The following is a 22,543-nucleotide window of genomic DNA, read 5'->3' on the forward strand; positions in this document are numbered from 1 at the left end:
ATGAATCCTTCACTCCTCCTGGCTGCCTTTTTCCTGGGAATTGCCTCAGCTGCTCTAACACGTGACCACAGTTTAGACGCACAATGGACCAAGTGGAAGGCAAAGCACAAGAGATTATATGGCATGGTTGGTGGCATCTGAAACTGTCCAGGGGAATCCCAGAGAGATGGGCATTGCTATTGGGATCATATGGCCAGAGAGTGGCTTCTAGAGGCTGGCTCCTACCAATAACCTAACGCAATAACTTAATAGCACTGATTATGAGCACGATATGGGCATACACCCTTGTTGTGTCTCAGCTTGGAAAACATCTCCTAGAAGTGTCAAGCCTTCCCTGGCCATGGTTACTCTTACATCTCTGTCTGAAGATTCACTTGGTTAGCATATGTTGGGTTTTAATTAGAAATAAATAGCATTGGCAGGGCACGGTGGCTCACGCCTGTAATACCAGCACTTTGGGAGGCCAAGGCAGGCGGATCACAAAGTCAGGAGATTGAGACCATCCTGGCTAACACGGTGAAACCCCGTCTCTACTGAAAAAAAATACAAAAAGTTAGCATGGTGGCAGGCGCCTGTAGTTCCAGCTACTCGGGAGACTGGGGCAGGAGAATGGCATGAACCCAGGAGGCAGAGCTTGCAGTGAGCTGAGATCGTGCCACTGCACTCCAGCCTGGGCGACAGAGCGAGACTCCGTCTCAAAAAAAAAAAAAGAAATGAAGAGCATCAGTTACATGTTTGCCTTTAGAATGAAGAAGGATGGAGGAGAGCAGTGTGAGAGAACATGAAGATGACTGAGCAGCACAATCAGGAATACAGCCAAGGGAAACACAGCTTCACAATGGCCATGAACGCCTTTGGAGACATGGTAAGTATGCTGTGGGCTGCCCAGCTCTGTGCTTCCCCTCCTCAGTTCTTTACCAAATTAATCTCTTGCTTCTTAACATTTTATTTACTTTTCTTTGAAGACCACTGAAGAATTCAGGCAGGTGATGAATGGTTTTCAATACCAGAAGCACAGGAAGGGGAAACAGTTCCAGGAACGCCTGCTTCTTGAGATCCCCACATCTGTGGACTGGAGAGAGAAAGGCTACGTGACTCCTGTGAAGGATCAGGTGAGACTGTGTTAGGTTCAGACCTCCCATCACCCCAGGAAAGCCAAGAAGCAATTGACATTTGTGCTATGGTAGACTGTGCAGCAACATGCAGTTCACTTTTTTTTTTGTATAATTTTTTTGTTTGTTTGTTTTGAGACAGAGCCTCACTCTGTTGCTCAAGGTTGAGTGCAGCGGCGTGATCTCTCCTCACTGAAACCTCTGTCTCCCAGATTCAAGAGATTATCCTGGCTCAGCCTCCCAAGTAGCTGGGGTTACAGGTGCCTGCCTCCCCTTCCAGCTAATTTTTTGTATTTTTAGTAGAGATGGGGTTTTGCCATGTTGGTCAGGCTGGTCTTGAGCTCCTGACCACAGGTCATCCACCTGCGTCGGCCTCCTAAAATGCTGGGATTACAGGCATGAGCCACCAAGCCTGGCCTGTTTTTTTTTGTTTGTTTTGTTTTTGTTTTTTTTTTTTGTTTTGTTTTTTGAGACAGGTCCTGCTCTGTCCTGCAGGCTGGAGTGTAGTGGTATGATCTCGGGTCACTGCAGCCTCTGCCTCCCAAGCTGAAGCCATCCTCCTGCCTCAGCCTCCTGAATAGCTGGGGCTGCAGGTATTCACCACCACTACACCCAGCTAATTTTAAAATTTTTTTTTCGTAGAGACAGGGTTTTACCATGTTGCCCAGCCTGGTCTTGAACTTCTGGGGTCAAGTGATCCGCCTGTCTCAGCCTCACTAAGTGCTGGGATTACAGCTGTGAGCCACCACATGTGGCCCTTCGTATAATTTTGACCTTTTAAAATGTATTGAGAATTGTTTTGTGACCTAACATATGATTTATCATGGGGAATGTTCCATATGCACTTGAGAGGAATATATATTCTGCACTTGTTAGATGGAGAGCTTTCTATATGTCTGTTAGGTCTAGTTGGTTTAGTATGTTGTTCAATTCCTCTAGTTCCTTATTGATTTTGTCTAGATGTTCTATTTACTGTTGAAGGTGGGGTGTTGACTGGGCGCAGTAGGTCAGGCCTGTAATCCCAGCACTTTGGGAGGCTGAGGTGGGTGAATTGCTTGAGCTTGGGCATTTGAGACCAGCCTGGGCAACATGGTGAGACCCCGTCTCCACAAAAAAATACACAAATTGGCTGGGTGTGGTGCTGTGTGCCTATAGTTCCAGCTACTGGGGAGGCTGAGGCTGGAGAATTGCTTGAGTCTGGGAGGCAGAGATTGCGGTGAGCTGTGATAGAGCCACTGCATTGAGGTCTCCATTATTGTAAAATTGTTTCTTCCTTCAATTTTATTAGTTTGCTTTGTGCATTTTGGAGCCCTTTTTTTTTTTGGTTCATATGTGTTTATAATTGTTACATCTTCTTGTGATTTGACTCTCTTACGAACATAAAATGTTTTTCTGTAACAGTTTTTGGCTTAAAATCTATTTTGTGTGGTATTATTAGTATAGCCACCCTGGCTCTCTTTTGGTTACTATTTGCATGGATTATCTCTTTCCATCTTTTCAGTTTCAACAAATTTGTGTCTTTGGGTCTACAGTGAGTATTTTGTGAGTTGCATATTTGGATTATGTATTACATTATTAAAAAAATTGATTCTGCCGATCTTTCCATTGATGAGATTATTTACATTGAAAGTGATTACTGAAACAGAAAAGTTACTTGACCGGGCACGGTGGCTCCCGCCTGGAGGTGAGGCTGCAGTGAGCCATGATCGCACCACTGCTCTTCAGCCTGGGGGACAGAGTGAGATTGACTCAAAAACAAAAAACAGAAACTTACTTATGGTTGGACTCACGCCTGTAATCCTATCACTTTGGGATGCTGAGGTGGGCAGATTGCTTGAGCCCAGGAGTTTGAGACCAGGCTGGGCGACATAGCAAGACTCCTGTCTCTACAAAAAATAGAAAAATAAGCTGGGCATGGTGGTGCACACCTGTAGTTCCAGCTACTCAGGAGGCTGAGGTGGGAGGATCAGCTGAGCCTGCAGAGGTCAAGGTTGTAGTGAGCCGTGATTGTGCCACTGCACTCCAGCCTGGGCAACAGAGCCAGACCCTGTCTCAAAAAAAAACCAAAAACAGGCTGGATGCAGTGGCTCATGGCTGTACCCAGCACTTTGGGAGGCCGAGGCGGGTGGATCACTAGAGGCCAGGAGCTCGAGACTAGCCTGGCCAATGTAGTGAAACCTCATCTCTACTAAAAATACAAAAAATTAGCTGGGTCTGGTGGTGGGCGCCTGCAATCCCAGCTACTCAGGAGGCTGAGAATCACTTGAACCTGGGAGGCAAAGGCTGCAGTGAGCTGAGAATGAAACACTGCACTCCAGCCTGAGTTACAGAGCAAGACTCTGTCTCAAAGAAACCCCAAAAAACAAAAACAGAAAAACCCACACACCAAAGAACTTACTTATGTCATCCTGCTGTTTAGTTTCTACATAAAGTGTTTTGCTCCTCAGTACCTTCTTTTGTGTTTGGTTAATGATTTATCCTGTAATATTTTGATCCTTTCTTAGTTCCTTTTCTGTATATTTTTAAAGTTTTGTTTTTAGTGGATACTATGAAGATTTCAGTTAACATGCTGAGTTCTAAGTCTAGTTCAGACTGATACCAACTCAGCTTCAATAGCATACATTAACTCTGCTCCTTTCTCTGTCCCCTAGCTATATTGTTACAAATTATGTCTTTAAACAATTAGTTCCTATTAACATAGATGCATATTATTTCATGCATGTTTTTAAATCATAAAGGAGAAAGAGGAATAACATACCCAAAATACAATAATACTAGCTTTTATATTTAGCTATATAGTTGCCTTTACCAGTGATTTTTATTTTTTCATATAGCTCTGAGTTATTATCTTGTATCTTTTCATTTTAGCCTGAAGGACTCACTTCAGCTTTTTTTTTTAGCCCGAGTCTTGCTCTGTTGCCCAGGCTGCAGTGCAGTGGCGCAATCTCTGCTCACTGCAACCTCTGCCTTCTGGGTTCAAGTGATTCTCCTGCCTGAGCCTCCCAAGTAGCTGGGATTACAGGCACGTGCCATCACACACAGCTAATTTTTGTATTTTTAGTAGAGATGGGGTTTCACCATATTGGCCAGGCTGGTCTCGAACTCCTGACCTCAGGTGATCCGCCTGCCTCGGCCTCCCAAAGTGCAGGGATTACAGGCATGAGCCACTGTGCCCAGCCAAGCATTCTTTTTTTTTTTTTTTTTTTTTTTTGAGGTGGAGTTTCCCTCTTTTTGCCCAGGCTGGAGTGCAATCGGGTGTGACCTCGGCTTACTGCAACCTCTGCCTCCCAGGTTCAAGCAATTCTCCTGCCTCAGCCTCCCGAGTAGCTGGGATTACAGGCATGTGCCACCATGCCTGGCTAATTTTGTATTTTTTTAGTAGAGACAGGGTTTCTCCATGTTGGCCAGGCTGGTCTCAAACTCCCGACCTCAGGTGATCCACCCGCCTCGGCCTCCCAAAGTGCTGGGATTACAGGCGTGAGCCACCACGCCCAGACCAGGCCAAGCATTCTTATATTTTTATTCATTTATTATTTTTTTAGTGACAGGTTCTTGCTCTGTCAACCAGGTTGGAGTGCAGTGGTATGATCATACCTCACTGTAACCTCCAACTTCTGGTCTCAAACGATCCTCCTGTCTCAGCCTCATGAGTAGTTGGAACTACAGATGCACACCACCATGCCCAGCTAATTTTTTTAATTTATATTTTGTAGAGACGGGGTCTCACTATGTTGTCCAGGCTAGTCTTAAACTGCTGGCTGCAAGCAATCCTCCTGTCTCAGCCTCCTGAGTAGCTAGGACCACAGGCCTGAGCCACCTTGTCTGGCTAATTATTTTTATTTTGTAGAGATGGGGTCTCCTTATGTCGCCCAGGCTGGTTGTGGACTCCTGGCCTCAGGTGATCCCACTTCAGTCTCCAAAAGTGCTGAAGTTACAGGCATGAGCCACCATGCTGAGCTTCCCCAACCCTGTTTTTTTTTTTTTTTTTTTTTTTGAGATGGAGTCTTGCTCTGTTGCCCAGGCTGGAGTGCAATGGCGCCATCTCGGCTCACTGCAACTTCCACCTCCCAGGCTCAAGCAATTCTCCTGTCTCAGCCTCAGTCAGCTGGGACTACAGGTACATGCCACCATGCCCAGCACACCACCACTGCCTTCTATACTCCGTGATTTCTGATAAGCAACTGTTAGTCTTACTGAAGATCCCTTGTACAGGATGAATCACTTATCTCTTGCTGCTTTTCTGTCTTTAGCTTTCTACAATTTGATTATAATGTGTGTCAGTGTGGATCTCTTTGAGTTTATCCTGCTTTGAATTTGTTGAGCATCTTCAATGTGTAGATTCACAATTCCCATCAAATGTGGGATATTTTTGGTCACTATTTCTTAAAAAAATCTCTCTAGGCCAGGCACAGTGGCTCACACCTGTAATCCTGCACTTTGGGAGGCCGAGGTGGGAGGATTGTTTGAGCCTGGGAGTTCAAGACTGGCCTGGGCAACATGGTGAGACCGTGTCTCTCCAAAAAATACAGAAATTAGCTGTGCTTAGTGGTGGTATGTGCTATAGTCCTGGTGCCATATTCTCAGCTACCTGGGAGGCTGACTATAGCTGGTGCTATAGTCCCAGCTACTTGGGAAGCTGAAGGGGGAGGATTGCTTGAGCCTAGGAGGTAGAGGCTGCAGTTATCAATGAGCCATGAGATCACACCACTGCACTCCAATCTGGACGACAGAGCGAGACCATCTCAAAAAAAAAAAAAAAAAAAGATAGGGATGTATCTGCATGACTATGGATTAGGCAATGGTTTCTTACATACAACCTAAAGCACACCAACCAGAGGAAAAATAAATTATGCTTTCTCAAGATTAAAAAGGAGACTATCAAGAAAGTGCAATGACAACTAATAGATTGAGAGGAAATATTTACAAATTATATACATGATAAAGGTCAATTACCTAGAATATATATACTTCAAAGACTCATTTAGAGACAGGGTCATGCTATGTTGCCTAGACTAGTGTTGACCTTCTGGGCTCAAGTTATCCTCCTGCCTCAGCCTTCTGAGTAGCTGGGACCATAGGCCTATACTACCACAACTGGCTGTGGAGTATATAAAGAACTCTTACCACTCAATAATGTGGACAAAACCCAATTTAAAAATGAGCAAAGGCTTTAAATAGAATAAAAATGAAACATTTAAGATTGTTGAAAGTGGTTGCCTCTGGGGAGTGGAATATGGTGAGGCAGATGTCTGGATTGGAGGGGACGAGCTATTGTGAACAATAAACCTTGTATCACTATTTGGCTCTCTGGATCACAGTTCACAACAAGGGATGAATTTGCTCCACAGGGGACATTTGGCAATCTGAATATATTTGTCATTGTTATAACTGAGGGGTCTTCCTGACATCTAATATGTAGAGGCCAGGGATATTACTAAACATCCTACAAGGCAGAGAGAGCCCCCATAACAAAGAATTACATAGCCTAAAATGTCAATAGTGCTGAGGTGAAAAATTGTCTAAAGTATGTTTGAGGCTGGGTGCGGTGGCTCATGCCTATAATACTAACACTTTGGGAGGCTGAGGCAGGTGGACCACCTGAGGTCAGGAGTTTGAGACCAGCCTGGCCAACATGGTGAAACTCCATCTCTACTAATAATAAAAAAATTAGTTGGGCATGGTAGCTCATGCCTGTAATCCCAGTTACGTGGGAGGCTGAGGCAGGAGAATTGCTTGAACCTGGAAGGCGGGGGTTGCAGTGAGCCAAGATCCCACCACTGCACTCCAGCCTGGGTGACAGAGTGAGATTTCATCTCAAAGTAAATAAATAAACAAATGAAGTATGTTTGATAAAAATACAAATACAAGTCAATAAAAGTTATGTTAAAAAAATTAAAAAATCATAAAACAATCTTTTGTACAATATCCACAGATTTACTTTTCTTTCTTTCTCTCTCTTTCTTTCCTTCCTTCCTTCTTTCTTTCTTTCTTGCTTGCTTTCTTTCTTTTTTTTTTTTTTTTTTTTGAGTTTCACTCTTGTTGCCCAGGCTGGAGTGCAATGGCACAATCTCAGCTCAATGCAACCTCTGCCTCTCAGGTTCAAGTGATTCTCCTGCCTCAGCCTCCTGAGTAGCTGGGATTACAGGCATGTGCCTGCTTAGTGGGGGTATAAGCCCTCCTTACCAAGTAGAGAAAAAGGGGAGAAAATCACATTGCTAAAGCAATTGTGTTAAGCCCCATATTATCTTTACTTGTGGAAGAATGCAGCTTTGACCTATTATTCGACACTTAGCACATATAAAATTTTAGGCCTTAGCTTTCAGTTCCTCAGATCATAGCAAATTGAAGTGTTAGGCTAACAAATTAGCTTACAGGCAATAACAGAAATCACTGACTGCACTACTACTGACGGCTACAGTAAGATCTCTGATAAAAACATGTTAAGTGATGCTCACTCAAATCCGTAAAGGTGCAGAAATACTCCTCTCAAACATAGTAAAAATAAAAACAATCTAATTATCTTGTATGTCAATTAAATGAACTATGGTATACCTATGCAAAGTACTAAACAGCCATTAAAAAGGATAACATATGCATGTAAATTACTTGGAATTATCACAAACATACATATGGAAAAAGGCAGGTTTCATACAACATGTATAACATGTTCCCACTTACAATTTTCTTTCTCTTCCCCATTCTTTCTCCCCACCATATATATATTGTTTATAACTTTCTATATTATTTCAACTGTATAATAGAAACTCATCTTTACAAAAAGAAAAACACAACTTTAAAAATGGTTAAACTATTAGGCTGGATGCTGTGGCTCACACCTGTAATCCCAGCACTTTAGGAGGCTGAGAGTGGATCACAAGGTCAGGAGTTCGAGACCAGCCTGACCAAATGGTGAAACCCCGTCTCTACTAAAAATACAAAAATTAACCAGGCGTGATAGCAAGTGCCTGTAATCCCAGCTACTCGGGAGGCTGAGGCAGGAGAATCACTTGAACCCTGGAGGCGGAGGTTGCAGTGAGCCGAGATTGTGCCAGTGCACTCCAGTCTGGGCGACAAAGCGAGACTCTGTCTCTCAAAAAAAAAAAAAAAAAAAAAAAAGAGGTTAAACTATTAAACCATTATGTCCCCCCATAAAATAATTAAAGTTCTTTCTAAGGACTGTACTCAATTCTTCCTATAAATTTTACTTTTTAGTCGACGGAATCAGTATACTGTAATGTTTTTCTTTAACTCAGGGGCCCAAGGCCTAGATAATCAACTTCTTTGAACAAGATGTGATATATTGGATACAGGGCTGGTACAAGACAACTTTGAAATGTTCAAAGACTGCTTTTTATACCCCAACCCTCTCCACCTCCCACCTAATCTGTAACTCTATGTCTTAGCACCCTTCCCTTAGTCACCTTAAAAATCTCATGAAGTCAACAAGGACAACAAAAAACTTAAAAACAGAAAAAATCTCATGAAGTCTAACCTACCCAAACCTATCCTTCATGAGAAGTCTAACCCCACACAGCACTTGGAAGGATTAATGCCATATTCTAGCCTCATCCACTGACAAAAGGGCTCTCTGGTGCTCTCCAGCTCCTGTTTGCTCACTTTCCATTCCTTTAGTGACATACCTCTGCTGGAGGTCAGTAAAACTTTGTTTAACCACTCCTTTTCTCCCAATGTACAAATGACAAATTGGTCCCGAATCTTTCTAGAGGCATCTACGAAAGTATTATGCTTGCTTTAGGATTAAGTAAGCTTGTTACCTCAAACAACAATTCCAACTAGGCTGGGGCAGTGGCTTACACCTGTAATCCCAGCACTTTGGGAGGCTGAGGCAGGAGGATGGCTCGAGCCCAGGAATTTGATACAAGCCTGGGCAATATAGTGAGATCCCATCTTGATTAAACAATATATTTTAAAAACAAAAAAGCTGGCTGTGCACGGTGGCTCACGCCTGTAATCTCAGCACTTTGGGAGGCCAAGGTGGGTGGATAACGAGGTCAAGAGATCGAGACCATCCTGGCCAACGTGGTGAAACCCCGTTGTAGACTAAAAATACAAAAATTAGCTGGGCGTGATGGCACGCGCCTGTAGTGCCAGCTATTCGGGAGGCTGAGGCAGGAGAATTGCTTGAACCTCAGAGGCAGATGTTGCAGTGAGCCGAGATCACGCCACGGTGCACCAGCCTGGCGACAGAGTGAGACTGTCTCAAAAACAAAAAACAATTCCAATTGGAGAAGGGCTCTGGCAAGTGGCAAGTCTGAAGCACACAGTTTGTAAATCACAAACATATAATGATAAAATCCTTCTCAAAAACAGTCTATACATGTTAAACATGCAACAGCTTCACCCACCCAAAACAAAATCACAAGGTATCAATTATTAGGCTTACTAGTTTTCTGCTCCATACAAACTAATGTATTGGGATGCACAGATTACAAGTAGCTCCTGAATAACAGATACGTTCTTCTTTTTTTTTTAATTTTTATTTTTTTGAGACGGAGTTTCACTCTTGTTGCCCAGGCTGGAGTACAACGGCATGACGTCAGCTCACTGCAACCTCTGCCTTCCAGGTTCAAGCAATTCTCCTCCCTTAGCCTCCTGAGTAGCTGGGATTACAGGTGCCCGCCACCACGCCTGGCTACTTTTTTCTATTTTTCGTGGAGACGGGGTTTCACCATGTTGGCCAGGCTGGTCTCGAACTCCTGACTTTAGGTGATTTGCCTGCCTCGGCCTCCCAAAGTGCTAGGATTATAGGCATGAGCTACCGCGACTGGCCTAACAGGTAAATTCTTATATAGAGAGCACGGTCTGAGGCAGAAGTTCATCTTTTTTAAAAAAGCAACTTTTCTAACAGCATGTGACTATAGAGTAGGAGATGAAAGGGTAATTTTGGTGCACAGAGATATAAGGGGATGAGAAGGGTGGAGACATCAGGGTCCTGCAGAACTTTACATAGGTGATATTTACACTCACACAAGGGAATGAACACTGACCTTTCAAAAGCTTTTCCAAAAACAGAAGAGGAAGGAACACTCCTCAACTCATTCCATGAGGCTAGAATTGTCTGGATACAAAGACTAGACAAAGACATCATAAGAAAACGATAGATCAGTGTCACTTAGAATAGCATTAAAAGGAATACAATACTTAGTTGTAAGACTTCTACAATGAGAACTACAAAACATCATTGAAAGAAATCAGAGACCTAAATAAATGGAAAGACATCTCATATTCAGCATTGGAAGGCTTAATATGGTTGAGATGGCAATACTGGTCAGGTGCAGTGGCTCATGCCCATAATCCCAGAATTTTGGGAAGCTGAGGTGGGAAGATTGCTTGATTCCAGGAGTTTGAGACCAGTCTGGGATACGTGATGAGACCATGTCTCTACAAAAAATTAAAAAGTTAGCCAGGTGCAGTTGCGCACGCCTATGGTTCTAGCTACTTGGGAGGGTGAGGTGAGAGGATTGCTTGAGCCCAGGAGGTCAAGGTTGCAGTGACTGCTGCCTGGTACTCCAGCCTGGGTGAAAGGGCAAAACCCTTTTGGGGAGGGTGGGGAAGATGGCAATACTCCACAAATTGGTGTGCAGATTCAATGCAATTCCTATCAAAATCCCAGCCTCTTTTTTTTTGTTTTGTTTTGTTTTGCAGAAATTTACAAGCTGATGCTAAACACACATGTGATAGGATCAGGGCTCAGGCTCAGGTCTGAGCCTCAATCTGACACTCTCTGTGGAGTGTCAGGAAATAACAGATAAATAACATCGAATTTGAAGGTTTGCCGAGAAGTGAGAGAAAAAACTCCCTTTGCCTGCCTCCTAGGCTTCAAAGCTGTCTGGGCCAAGACGTCAATTTAGCTGCATCATGGGTCAATGAGGCCTTTGCGAATTAGGCAAATAAATCAAGTTACTAGAGTTTAAGCTGTGTTTTCTTTCAGTATTCCAATGAATCACTTTTTGACCTTTGGAATTATTAGGTACTTGTCAAGACTGATAAAATTTAGCTGGAGATATTGCAGATATGGGCGATAAATATGACTGAATAAAGTCTGAAACCATTCAAGACTATAAAATGTGTTTGAGATTTAGGCGAGGAGGAAAGACCTTTTGAAAATTATGAAGGCTATTAACAGGCTGAACATGACTTCAATTCACCATATCTCAGAATCGGTAGGTACTCCTATAAAAGTGTGAGTGAGATAGTTAACTCATGTTAACAGGCTCCGTGTAATGATGCACAAATTCACAGTAGTGCTGGGTATGCGGCACGTCAAAGGCCCAAATGCCTTTTATTATGAAAGACAGGCCAAATCTAGTCAAGTTTTAGAGTTACCTATACTTACTGTATTTCTATATTAGGTTATTTCATGACATTTATTTCATGACTTTTTTCCTAAAAATGAATCTGAATAGCTTTATTTCTTTTCTCTTTCTTCTTGAGATGTGGTCTTGTTTTGTCACTTAGGCCAGAGTGCAGTGGCACGATCACAGCTCATGGTAGCCTCAACCTCCCAGGCTTAAGGGATCCTCCCATCTTAGTAGTTGGGACCACAGCCATGCACCATCACGCTTGGATAACATTTTCATTTTTTGTAGAGACGGGGTCTCGCTATATTGCCTAGGGTGGTCTTGAACTTCCAGGCTCAAGTGATCCTCCCACCTCAGCCTCCAAAACCTCCAAAAATGCTGGGATTACAAGCACCAGCCACCATGCCCAGACTTTATAGTTTAATTTCATAGGCATTTGTCCATGGTGGGGGAAATGCTGAGAAAGAAAGTAGAGAAAAATACACTTTATTTCCTATTTAAGTAGACCTTATTTTGTTTAACTATACTGATACTGATAGGGCAAGTATTATATTATTAAGTAACTATTAACATTCTATTAACTATACTGATAGGCCAAGCATTTTATTAAATAATTATGTATATTCTATTCAAACAAATTAGAAGCCTTCTAGATTAAAAATATATGTATAGAAAGGTTTAAACTGCCTGAAAATTAGAAGGTAAATGACAAATATTTACATATCATAGGAAAGAATGTTCAGATCACACACAAAGAACATATAAACACAGATAATAGTAAGATACGAAGACATCAAGCAAACGAAGATTAGTGTCTTCAAAAATGTTGTATGTTTGGCAAAAGCTCCTATCACAAATAGTAGGAGGCCGGGCATAGTGGTTCATGCCTGTAATCCCAGCTCTTTGGGAGTCTGAGATGGGTGGATCACCCGAGGTCAGGAGTTCAAGACCAGCCTGACCAACATGGCGAAACCCCATCTCTACTAAAAATACGAAAATTAGCTGGGTGTGGTGGCACATGCCTGTAGTCTCAGCTACTTGGGAGGCTGAGACAAGAGAATTGCTTGAACCCGGGAGGTGGAGGAGATTGCACCACTGCACTCCAGTCTGGGAGACAGAGTAAGACTCTGTCTCAAAAAAAAAAAAAAAAAAAAAAAAAAAAAAGATTTTTTTAGATGTTCCCACTTTATGCCAAAATCTATGTGGCTACACATACCAATAAAGCCCTTCTTTGCTAGCTCCATGGTGAACCTCCTTGTGATCTTTTCCAGTTTGTTATCCTGTAAAATAAGAAAACAATAAAAATAAAAAAAGATACAAAAATCGCTTGAGATTATAGCTAGCATCTTATTTTCTATTTATAGTACATTTTCATGTCTTCTCATCCTTAGAACAACTCATAAGGTAGGCAATGCCATTTTAAAGGTGAGAAAATAAGGGATCAAAAAAGTAGGTTATAAAAACAAGATAGTAGAACCAGGACTCAAATTCCCATTCTATTAATTCCCCACTGAAAAATATACCAAATCTTAATTAAGATTAATTGTAATATAATTATATTCCATCTAAATGGTGAATTTTAAAGAGAATAAAAATCATATCTGTTTATGTTTGTATATAGATAATTTAGTATTATGTAAAGCATTGTGACAACCAGTTTGAATTTACTTGGAACTGACAGGATAAAAAGTAAGGTTTTTATTGGCTTAGTTAAGATATTTGTCACTAGCATGAGATCCTGACCTAAAAACTTCAGATCACAGTACTACTTTTCTTCTTTCTTTTTGAGACAGAGTCTTGCTCTGTTGCCCAGGCTGGAATACAGTGGTGAAATCTCGTCTCACTGCAACCTCTGCCTCCTGGGTTCAAGCAGTTCTCATGCCTGAGCCTCCCGAGTAGCTGGGATTACAGGTGTGCGTCACTATGCCTGGCTAATTAGATCACAGTGATTCTTTTTTTTTTTTTTTTGAGACAAAGTCTCGCTCTGTCACCCAGGCTGGAGTGCAGTGGCATGATCTCGGCTCACTGCAAACTCCACCTCCCGGGTTTACTCCATTCTCCTGCCTCAGTCTCCTGAGTAGCTGGGACTACAGGCACCCACCAACACGCCGGACTAATTTTTCGTATTTTTAGTAGAGACGGGGTTTCACTGTGTTAACCAGGATGGTCTCGATCTCCTGACCTCGTGATCCGCCTGCCTTGGCCTCCCAAAGTGCTGGGATTACAGGCGTGAGCCACCGCACCCAGCCAGATCACAGTACTTCTTAAATATGGGTATAGGTGTCTAATAATATGAAGATATTAATTACCTTTTAAATAAGAAAATAATAATACAAAAAGCAAAAAAAAAAAAAAACAAGACTCATAAAAACAAAACCAAACAAAACAGAAAATGATAAAGGATATAGATATTAAGTAGGTGACCTTTATATGGCAAAACACTCAATGAGTTAATTCTTTACTTTTTTCATTCCATTTGAAAAGCAATGGGGACTATTGATTTCACTGATATGGGGGATACAGAGAAGCCCAGTAATTTCAAGTCCTTCATAAATGCACTGTGTGCACAAATATCACTTTGAGGCCGGGTGCGGTGGCTCATGCCTGTAATCCCAGCACTCTGGGAGGCCAAGGTGGGCAGATCACCTGCGGTCAGTAGTTCAAGACCAGCCTGGCCAACATGGTGAAACCCCCTCTCTACTAAAAATACAAAAATTAGTCAGGCATGGTGGCATGCACCTGTAATCCCAGTTACTGGATCAAGGAGAATCGCCTGAACCCAGGAGGCGGAGGTTGCAGTGAGCCGAGATCGCACCGTTGCACTCCAGCCTGGGCGACAGAGCAAGACTCTGTGTCAAAAAAGCAAAAACAAAAACAAAAACAAAAACAAAAACTTTCATACTTACGGTATAGTTCTTGGGATAGATCTTAACACCAGCTTTAGCACCCCCAAACGGCACATCTGAAAGAGAAGGTTGATGGTTGCTATTCCATATAAAGGTTAAAAAAGTAAAATGACAGAAAGCGCCACATGATATTAGAAAAACGTGTGATGCTTTAAGCTTGAATTTCTGAAAGTTCAAGAAATAAACCTACCATCGTTTTCTCAACTGTACTTTAAACAACATTTATTGAACAGGAATTGTTCAATAAAATTGGCTAGCCAAGTTCTAATATATATATATAAAACATAATAATAATTAACCAATAATAATAAATACTTAAACCTCTAATCCATAGATTGCAAATGCAACAATGATAGCTTATTTTCTTGGGGAACAGGAGTGGGTGGGGACAGAGGGAACGGGAACAGGACTTTTGCTGAAAGGAGGGATGACAGGAACACAAGGCTGTGGGTGAAAAGAAGAACAAATAGAAGAAACAGCAGAGAAGGCGGCTGGCTGGGGTGGGGCGGGCGCCTCCCTGGCCCTGCTCCAGGACTCAGGACTGGGTCCCGCCTGGGCCGCCCCTCCTGCCAAGCCCCTGGCCTCTTCCCAGGGTGACTGGCCCACTCCTAGACCCTAGGACATCTGAAGGGCAGGAGTCCCAACGGCCTGAGAGGGTATGGGCCAGGAGCAGCAGGCTGACCCATCTGGGCCCAAAAGCCACCTGTGTTTGGGGGCTGGAATGCTGTCTAGAAAGAGGGCGCCCTGGGAAAGGGGCGCACGAGAGTTTCTCTCCTGAGAGGCCCCCATGCAGGTCGGGTCAACAAGGGGGCTTTATCTGCCTTGAGGCAGCGCTCCCTAAGTGAAGCAGGCCTACCCCAGAAGCACAGGGGCTTGGCTGGCGCCTGAACTCCCTGTGCGAGGCAGCACCTGCTCATGGAGCCCCTCAGCCTGCAGGTGCACACCTGGTTTCCAAGTCCTGCCTGGGGCCTTGCTAGGTGGGGGACGGACCTGGAACAGGACCCTAAGCCCACCCCCTCCTCATACCTGGCGGTCCAGGGCTCCCCGCCCAGTGGAGCCAGCACAGGCTAGCCAGGCCCCCCTCCTGCCTGACCCCCGGAGGCCAAGCTCCTCTCCTGCAGTAGTGCCGCCCTGCCAGTCAGGTAGCTCTGGGGGCAGGGGCAAAGGAGAAGGGAGGGCCGCAGCCCTCTGGGAATGGCCTTTCTGAGGCACTCAGTGGCTGGACTGGGGCTCTGGCAGGAGTTGGGGCATTAATAACACCCCCATCCTCCCCTGGGCTCTGCCTCATCTGACCCTCCAGAACCCCCTGCCCCAAGCCCCTACACACACTGTTCTATTCCTCAGCCCCTCTCAACGCCCTGGCACCATGGGGCCCAATGCATGTCCTCCCCTGAGAGGGAACAGCTCTGGGGCAACGGGCAGCGGGGTGCCCTCCCTGCCACCAAGATTTGGTGCCTAGAGCTGGTGGAGGGCTGGCCGCACCTCTCTGGGGCACACCAGGTCCTGCTCCCCCAGCCTATGGCTTTGGGGCGGAGCCCGAAGGGAGAGAGCAGGGGCGGTGGGTGGGGGAAGAAGGGTGTTTCTGCGGCTCGGTTTGTGGCAAGAAAGTTTTTTTTTTTTTCAACTTTCTCTTGTGTAAAAAGTTCACGAAAGCTCGGCAGCCTCTGCAAATGTCAGCAGTGTTTCCTGGGGCGGGGGAACAGGGAGGGGCCCCAGGCCTGGCCTGCAACTTGCGACTGAAGGTGGCCTCTTATTGCTTAGAAACGCGTGTTTCGGTTTAAATACCAGACAGTAAAAATAGAGCTCGAGGACCGCCCGCACTGTTGCCAAATCAGTGCCAGAATGAACAGCTTAAATAAATAAAAAATCGAAATATTTACTTCTGGATAAAAATCGCAGTAAAACCATTTGCCTTTCTTTGCATTATATATAATATATATTTATAACTGCCCAGCTGCGGGCGGCGGAGCCGAGGGCAGCGGAGGGGTCAGGACATCTCGATGACCTCCACGCTGCCCGAGAAGCTCCCCTGCTTGCCCAGGGCGGCCAGCTCCTCGCTGCGCGCGCGCCCCTCCACCATGCCCTCCTCGAACTCCATCTGGCAGCTGCAGCACTTGAAGTGCGAATCCGGGGCCAGCTCGTCTGACCAGCTGGTCCGCGCGTCCCGGGCTCAGCCGTTGCTGCCTCCCGCCGTGGCAGGTCGCTGCAGCCGTTGGGTTCCGGGGCGCCCGCCCGGCCGAAGGGCGCAAACAGCACCCTGCCCGGCCCTTGCACGCCCTCGGGGCTGAAGCACCGAGGACGCTCCAGGGAGTCGAGCGGTGGCGTCCAGGCTCCGGGGCTGGCCGGCTGGCCAGGGCCCGGCAGCCGCGTAGCCGAAGTTCAGGCCGCGCGCGGGATAGCGCGCCGGGCCGTGGGTGTGCCTGGGCGCGGCGTCCGGGCAGGGCGAGGGCAGGCCCAGCATGGCCCCGACTGGCTGTCCAGCTTTCAGAGAGCTTCGGGGCCTCGCCGGGGTCGCTGGGCCCGGGCCGCCGGGCCGCCTGCTGGGGGCGTAGGCCGACTTGATGTCCAGAGAGAAGGAGGGCTTGAGGCGGCTGGTGTCCTGCAGGTGGTCCGAGGAGAGGCGCAGGCTGCGCAGGCCCTGCTGCAGCGTGCTGGTGGCCGTGGGGGGCGCCGGGGGCTTCCTGCCCGCGCTCGGGCCGCCCTCCCTGGCAGCCGCACTCCTGGTGGCAGCGGTCTCTGAGGTAGGTGGTGGCAGCCATGGCAGTGGGGCCCCGGCCGCAGGGCTGGGGGGAGGCTCCTGCATTCCTGAGGGGGTGCCCGCGTCGCCCTGCACGGCGGCCAGCAGCTTCGGGCTGCTCTGGTACTCCAGCAGCTGGCCCAGGAAGTTGAAGTTGGGCGAGATGGACGGGCGCTGGTCCTTCACAAACCTGTAGGCGTCTTCGGAGGACATGCCCATGGTCTTCATGATGTAGGCGATGGCGATAGTGGCACAGCAGGAGATGCCGGCCAGATGGTGGACGATGACTTGGCAGCTGGACAGCTTGGCTTTATCGATGAACTCGATGGACTTGTCCAGCCAGGGCAGCAGCTTTTCACAGTAGTTGTCGTTGATGGGGACCTGCAAGAAGTGGCTCTGGTAGATGAAGTCAGGCTTGGGGCAGGAGTTGCTGGCATAGAGGACGTAGCTTATTCCATTCTGCGTCATCAGATCCTTGTTCAGGACGTCTTCCTGCGAGCCCAGGTAGAGGTGAGGCAGGATGAGGGTCAGGCCCACGCTGGGCACGAGCAGGCAGGACTGGGAGAGGCTCATGGGTAGCAGGGCAGCAGGCTCGCCCTCGCAGAGGTCGGGGAAGCAGGAGGAGAAGGTGGCGAAGCCCCCCGTGATGATGGCCATGCTGTGGAAGCAGCCGGCCACGCTGTGGAAGCAGCCATCCAGCTTGCTCAGCAGGATGGAGAGGAAGCTGTCTGCGGCCGCGTGCTCTGGTCATAGACCACCACGTCCTGTGGCTCAGTGGCCTCCACCTGGCTGCGTGCAGCCGGCTGGATGAACTCCACAATGGTCACCTTGCCCTTCTGCAACCGCCACTTCACCAGCTTGGAGCAGCAGATGTTGACGGAGCTGAGCACATGCCAGCTGTTGTACTCCAGGAAGGAGTGACTGTCGATGACCAGGCCCCCCCAGGCCCGCCCCGCAGCAGGCTGGCCAGCTTCTTGGCGTCCATCACCTTCCTGGGGAGCCGGTCCCCGGCCATGATGGGGCAATGGGTCTTGGGGAGGGTGACCCCTGAAGTGAGGAGGGGCTGCTCCGACGGCCCAAGTGTGGCCTCGCACTGGGAATAACCTAGCACATGATGCCGGACCTTGCTTGCGCTCACCTCGGGGGTGCTCCGAGGACCCGCACCGCGCTCAAGGCGCCCGCTCGGCTGTGCAGTCCATGGGCCAGGCGGGGGCCCGCGCAGCTGGGGCGGGGGCTGGGGCTCTAATATATATTTAATCAGTGCTCTTCACCACTTTAAAAAGATAATAGCTTATTTACTCTCCTTCTACTATAATTTGGTCTTATTTATAGAATATGTTGAGGAATTGAAAACAAAGATCTAGACTTAAAATCCAATTAGCTCCCTCCCGTAAAAAAAATCCCTCCCGTAAAAAAAGGCTATATCTTAATTTAGAGTAATTGAAAAATGATGCAGGTCTTAAAGAGTACAACTTAAAAAAAAATCAGTTCTGATAAGGTATATTTCTATAGCATCTTAACAGTAACATGTGTGTAAACATATTTCCCCAGAGTTCTCATTAGGTAGCAAGAAAAGCGATCACCTACCAACCACTGCACACTTGTATGTCATCAGAGAAGCCAAAGCTTTTACTTCATCTACACTCACATCAGTGCTATAACGGATACCTGGTGGTGTTTTTTAAAAAATGTGTTGGGGTGGGTGAGAAAGAAGGAGATATATTTAGAACAAATTTCAGTAAGTTTCAAAAAAGAAAGCTACAAATTGAAAATATCCACTTTTTACATTTTATACCCAAGCTATGTCCAAAAACACTTGAAGCAGCTCATACATCAGAACACCATAAAAAATGAATATAAAACATTTAAAAAAGCTGCTAATAACAGTAACTATGATTTCACAAGACAAAAATCACCCTGCAATGAATTTCTGTACACTTTCCAGAAGGCTTTTTTATGTTCCTTTTACCTTTGGTTTGCGTGACCTGGTTGCAGGGAGTTCAAGAATTCAGCTTGCTTTTTTAGGGGGTGGGTAGGGGTGGGAAACAGGGTCTTGCTCTGTTGCTCAGGCTGAGCGTAGTGGCACAGACACTGCTTACTGTAGCTTCAACCTCCTGGGCTCAGGTAATCCTCCCACCTCAGCCTCCTGAGTAGCTGGGACCACAAGTGCATGCCACCATGCCCAGCTAATGTTTGAATTTTTTGTAGAGTCAAGATCTCACCATGTTGCCCAGGCTGGTCTCAAACTCCTGGGCTCAAGTGATCCTCCCACCTTGGCTTCCCAAAGTGCTGGGATTACAGGGATGAGCCGCTATGCCTGGCAAGAATTCTGCTTTCTGATAATTCACAAACATGGGCAATGAATAGTCACCAGGTTCAAAATACCGTATGTCTAAACAGAGGTTTTGGCTTCAAATGGGTATATTGAAAGAGATCCTTACTTGTTATTCTCCTCACCCACTGCCAACCTCTTTCAATTTGAAGATGAGAAAGCCATTTTCCCTTCCTGAGGTTGAGTGATTCCCTTCACCACTTCTGCAAGAAGGGGAGGTAGCCAAGCAGACAGGTACTAGTGCCCCTGTATCTAGTAGCCATTACGTGTTGGTATAGGGTATACAGAAAGTGGGGATGCCCACTGCTTTGGCTTTGGGGGGTCTTGGTCAATTACCCTTCCAAGTTTTGGAGTGCTAAGCCACCTTTCTTTCTCTATAATCCATTGCTTCTCAATCCCAAGGAGGAAAGTCTGAGCAGGGTTGATGTTTGACTGCACAGTGCTTGGGGCACTGGGTGTTTGTGTGTGAAGTTTACCCACAAGAAGCTGCAGCATTTTTTCTACCCTCCCACTCTCAACAGATTCAGCCCCTCTCGAGGGGCTGGGTACGATTTCCACTGGGAGTCACAGGTAAGTAATGGGAGCCTCAGGGACAGCTCTTTTAAAGAATTCTGAGAATAAAAGTTTTTCAGATAGAAAATATACAATATCTCAGGGACTGGCAGTTTGAGAGAACTTCCCTAGTCAATTTTAAAAGCTAGCTTTTTTATATGTTTCTGAAAACATCAACCTTAATATTAATAATATTTTAAGAGAATGTATTTATTATACAGATCATAAAGAGCATATTCTAAGCTGAACATACTTATTTGGTCTACTGTAAAAACAAATTATATTTAGGGGAGTATGTGCTTACAACTATATCTTGTATATAATTGATTCTCAAATTGTGAAATAAATGTACTCATTAAACTTTTAGAATGCAAAATTACAGGTAATTTTTCTAGCACACAGCAGATATCTGTATAGCTGACTCCCCCATCTCATTCAGGTCTCTGTTAAAAACTTCATTCTGAGAGGCTCTCCCTGACCACTGTATTTAAAAGAGCACCTCTTTCTCACTCCCACTTTCCTGCCTCTCCTACCTTACTTGTTTCTTCATATCGTTTATTATTACTGACTTTGCATTATACATGTGTTTAGTATCTGGCTTCCCTACCTGGCAAGTTAGCACCACGAGGGCAGACTTTGTTATGTTCACTGCTTTAATTCCTGGTTCCTAACATAGAAAATGGCATACATTAGGCACTCAAATACATGCTGAATTAATATACGAATATTCTGACTCTTAAAATTTTAAAAAGAAAGAAAAGCTATGGCCACAAAAAATTTTGACATACATGTACTTTTAAATAACTTACCATAAGCCTCCATACATATCATGAAAGGACTCAGTATACAACATTGGGGATGGGGGTGACGGGGAGATGATGGTCAAAGGGCACAAAGCCTCAATTAGACAGGAGGAATACATTTCTTGGAGATAAATTGCACAGCATGGTGAATACAGTAAATAATAATAGATTACACATTTGGCCCAACATGGTAGTTCACGCTTGTAATCCCAACACTGGAAGGCTGAGGTGGGAGGATCACTTGAGCTCAGGAGTTTGAAACCAGCCTGGCCAACATAGTGAGACCTCATTTCTACAACAACAACAAAAAGTACTGCACATTTCAAAATCACTGAGTAAATTTCAGATGTTCTCACCAGAAAAAATGATAATTATTTGCAATTGTTTCCAGTGGTGAACAGGTTAATCAGCTTGACTTAATTATGTAATGTTGTATTCATAAATCATAAAATTACTTTGTACCTCATAAATATACATCTACAATTTGTCAATTTACAATTTAAAAAATAAAAAAATTGAAAGGCTTTCCAGTCAGATGAGGCCCACAGAAAAGGAAAAAAAAATTGTAAATAATATTAAGATGAATCCTTTGTATCTTAAAAAAAATTGAGTTGGGTGTGGGGGCATGTGCCCGTAGTCCCAGATGCTCAGGAGGCTGGGGCAGGAGAATCGCTTGAGCCCAGGAGTTGCAGGCTGCAGTGAGCTACGCTCAGGTCACTGCACTCCACCCCAGCAACAGAGCCAGACCTTTTCTCAAAAAAAAATTGTTTCAACACTAAAATGTGCTTTTCAAATTATTCAAAATGCTTCTAAGTAATACCACATATTTAATGATAACTACACTAAGCCAGGAAAATAGTCAGGCGCTGTGCCCAGGCGACCCAGCCTGCACCATCCGCTTGCATGGAGGGGTGCTAACGCCGCCCTCCTACGATGGGCGTCACAACTGCGAGGAACATTGCACATGGGGAATCTGGCACGGTGCCCTGCAAGTGGTCAAACAGGCAAATCTCAACTGTTACCACTGCTATAACAAGTATTACAAAGCAATGGCATGTAACAAAGCAATTAAAAAGTCTAAACTGACAGGAGTTTGAACAAATGACTTAAACCTTGGTTTCATTACTTCTACATAAATTCACGGGAAGTGGTAAAACAATGTATTAATTAAGAACTAGTATTTCTTCTCCCACACATAAATCACTTTTTTCATTGCTCTTTTAGAGCCTGTGGAAGTCATCACTACATTATTTTTAATTTTCCTTGCTTTCTTAAGTGGAGGAAAAGTTACTTTCTTTTAACTTAGAAACTTAAAAATTTTAACTTGCATTTAGCAGGGAGCTAAAAACTGCTGGAACCAATGATATTCATAAATCAAACAGAAGCATTCAAATGGCAAGCCTAATATTCTAGAAATAGATGTTACTAAAAATTAGGAACCAGACCCCTGCTTCCACACAACAGTGTAAACAGAATGTCCATTTTATCATAAGTCATGGAATGATATGAGTCAGAAACTGTGTGTGTATAACAAAAGACATGTTCCGCTGGATGGAACCCAGGAATTCTTGTTTGTAAAGTTAAATTTTCTTTCCCAGCTACACCCATTTAGAGAGCTCAACCTGCTAAACAGTGAAGAGAAGCAGTTTCACAAATTACCTCTCACACCACAGGCATTTTCTGTAGGCTATGAACCAATAAAGGTTCAGTGAATGGAAGTACAGGAGGTATAAAGAAAGTACCAGCTTAGTGGAAGAAGCCCTGGAGCCAACAGAGTAG

General features: G+C 45.1%; 3 pseudogenes across 1 annotated transcript in view; 1 reads left to right on the plus strand and 2 right to left on the minus strand.

Moving 5' to 3' along the window:
- Positions 1-977, plus strand: CTSLP3 (cathepsin L pseudogene 3; annotated as a pseudogene).
- Positions 935-22,543, minus strand: part of GLUD1P2 (glutamate dehydrogenase 1 pseudogene 2) — a 27,748-nt pseudogene continuing 6,139 nt past the window's right edge. Inside the window, exons 2-6 of the transcript NR_111968.1 lie at positions 18,665-18,745; positions 14,341-14,396; positions 12,651-12,714; positions 10,121-10,204; positions 935-1,072 (exon numbers count right to left, since the gene is read on the minus strand). The product of NR_111968.1 is annotated as a glutamate dehydrogenase 1 pseudogene 2 (transcript). The remainder of the gene's footprint in view (positions 1,073-10,120; positions 10,205-12,650; positions 12,715-14,340; positions 14,397-18,664; positions 18,746-22,543) is intronic.
- DUSP8P2 (dual specificity phosphatase 8 pseudogene 2) lies at positions 14,612-18,317 on the minus strand (annotated as a pseudogene).

Source organism: Homo sapiens, chromosome 10 (genome assembly GCF_000001405.40).
Source record: "Homo sapiens chromosome 10, GRCh38.p14 Primary Assembly".
In the NCBI taxonomy this organism is placed as follows: domain Eukaryota; kingdom Metazoa; phylum Chordata; class Mammalia; order Primates; family Hominidae; genus Homo; species Homo sapiens.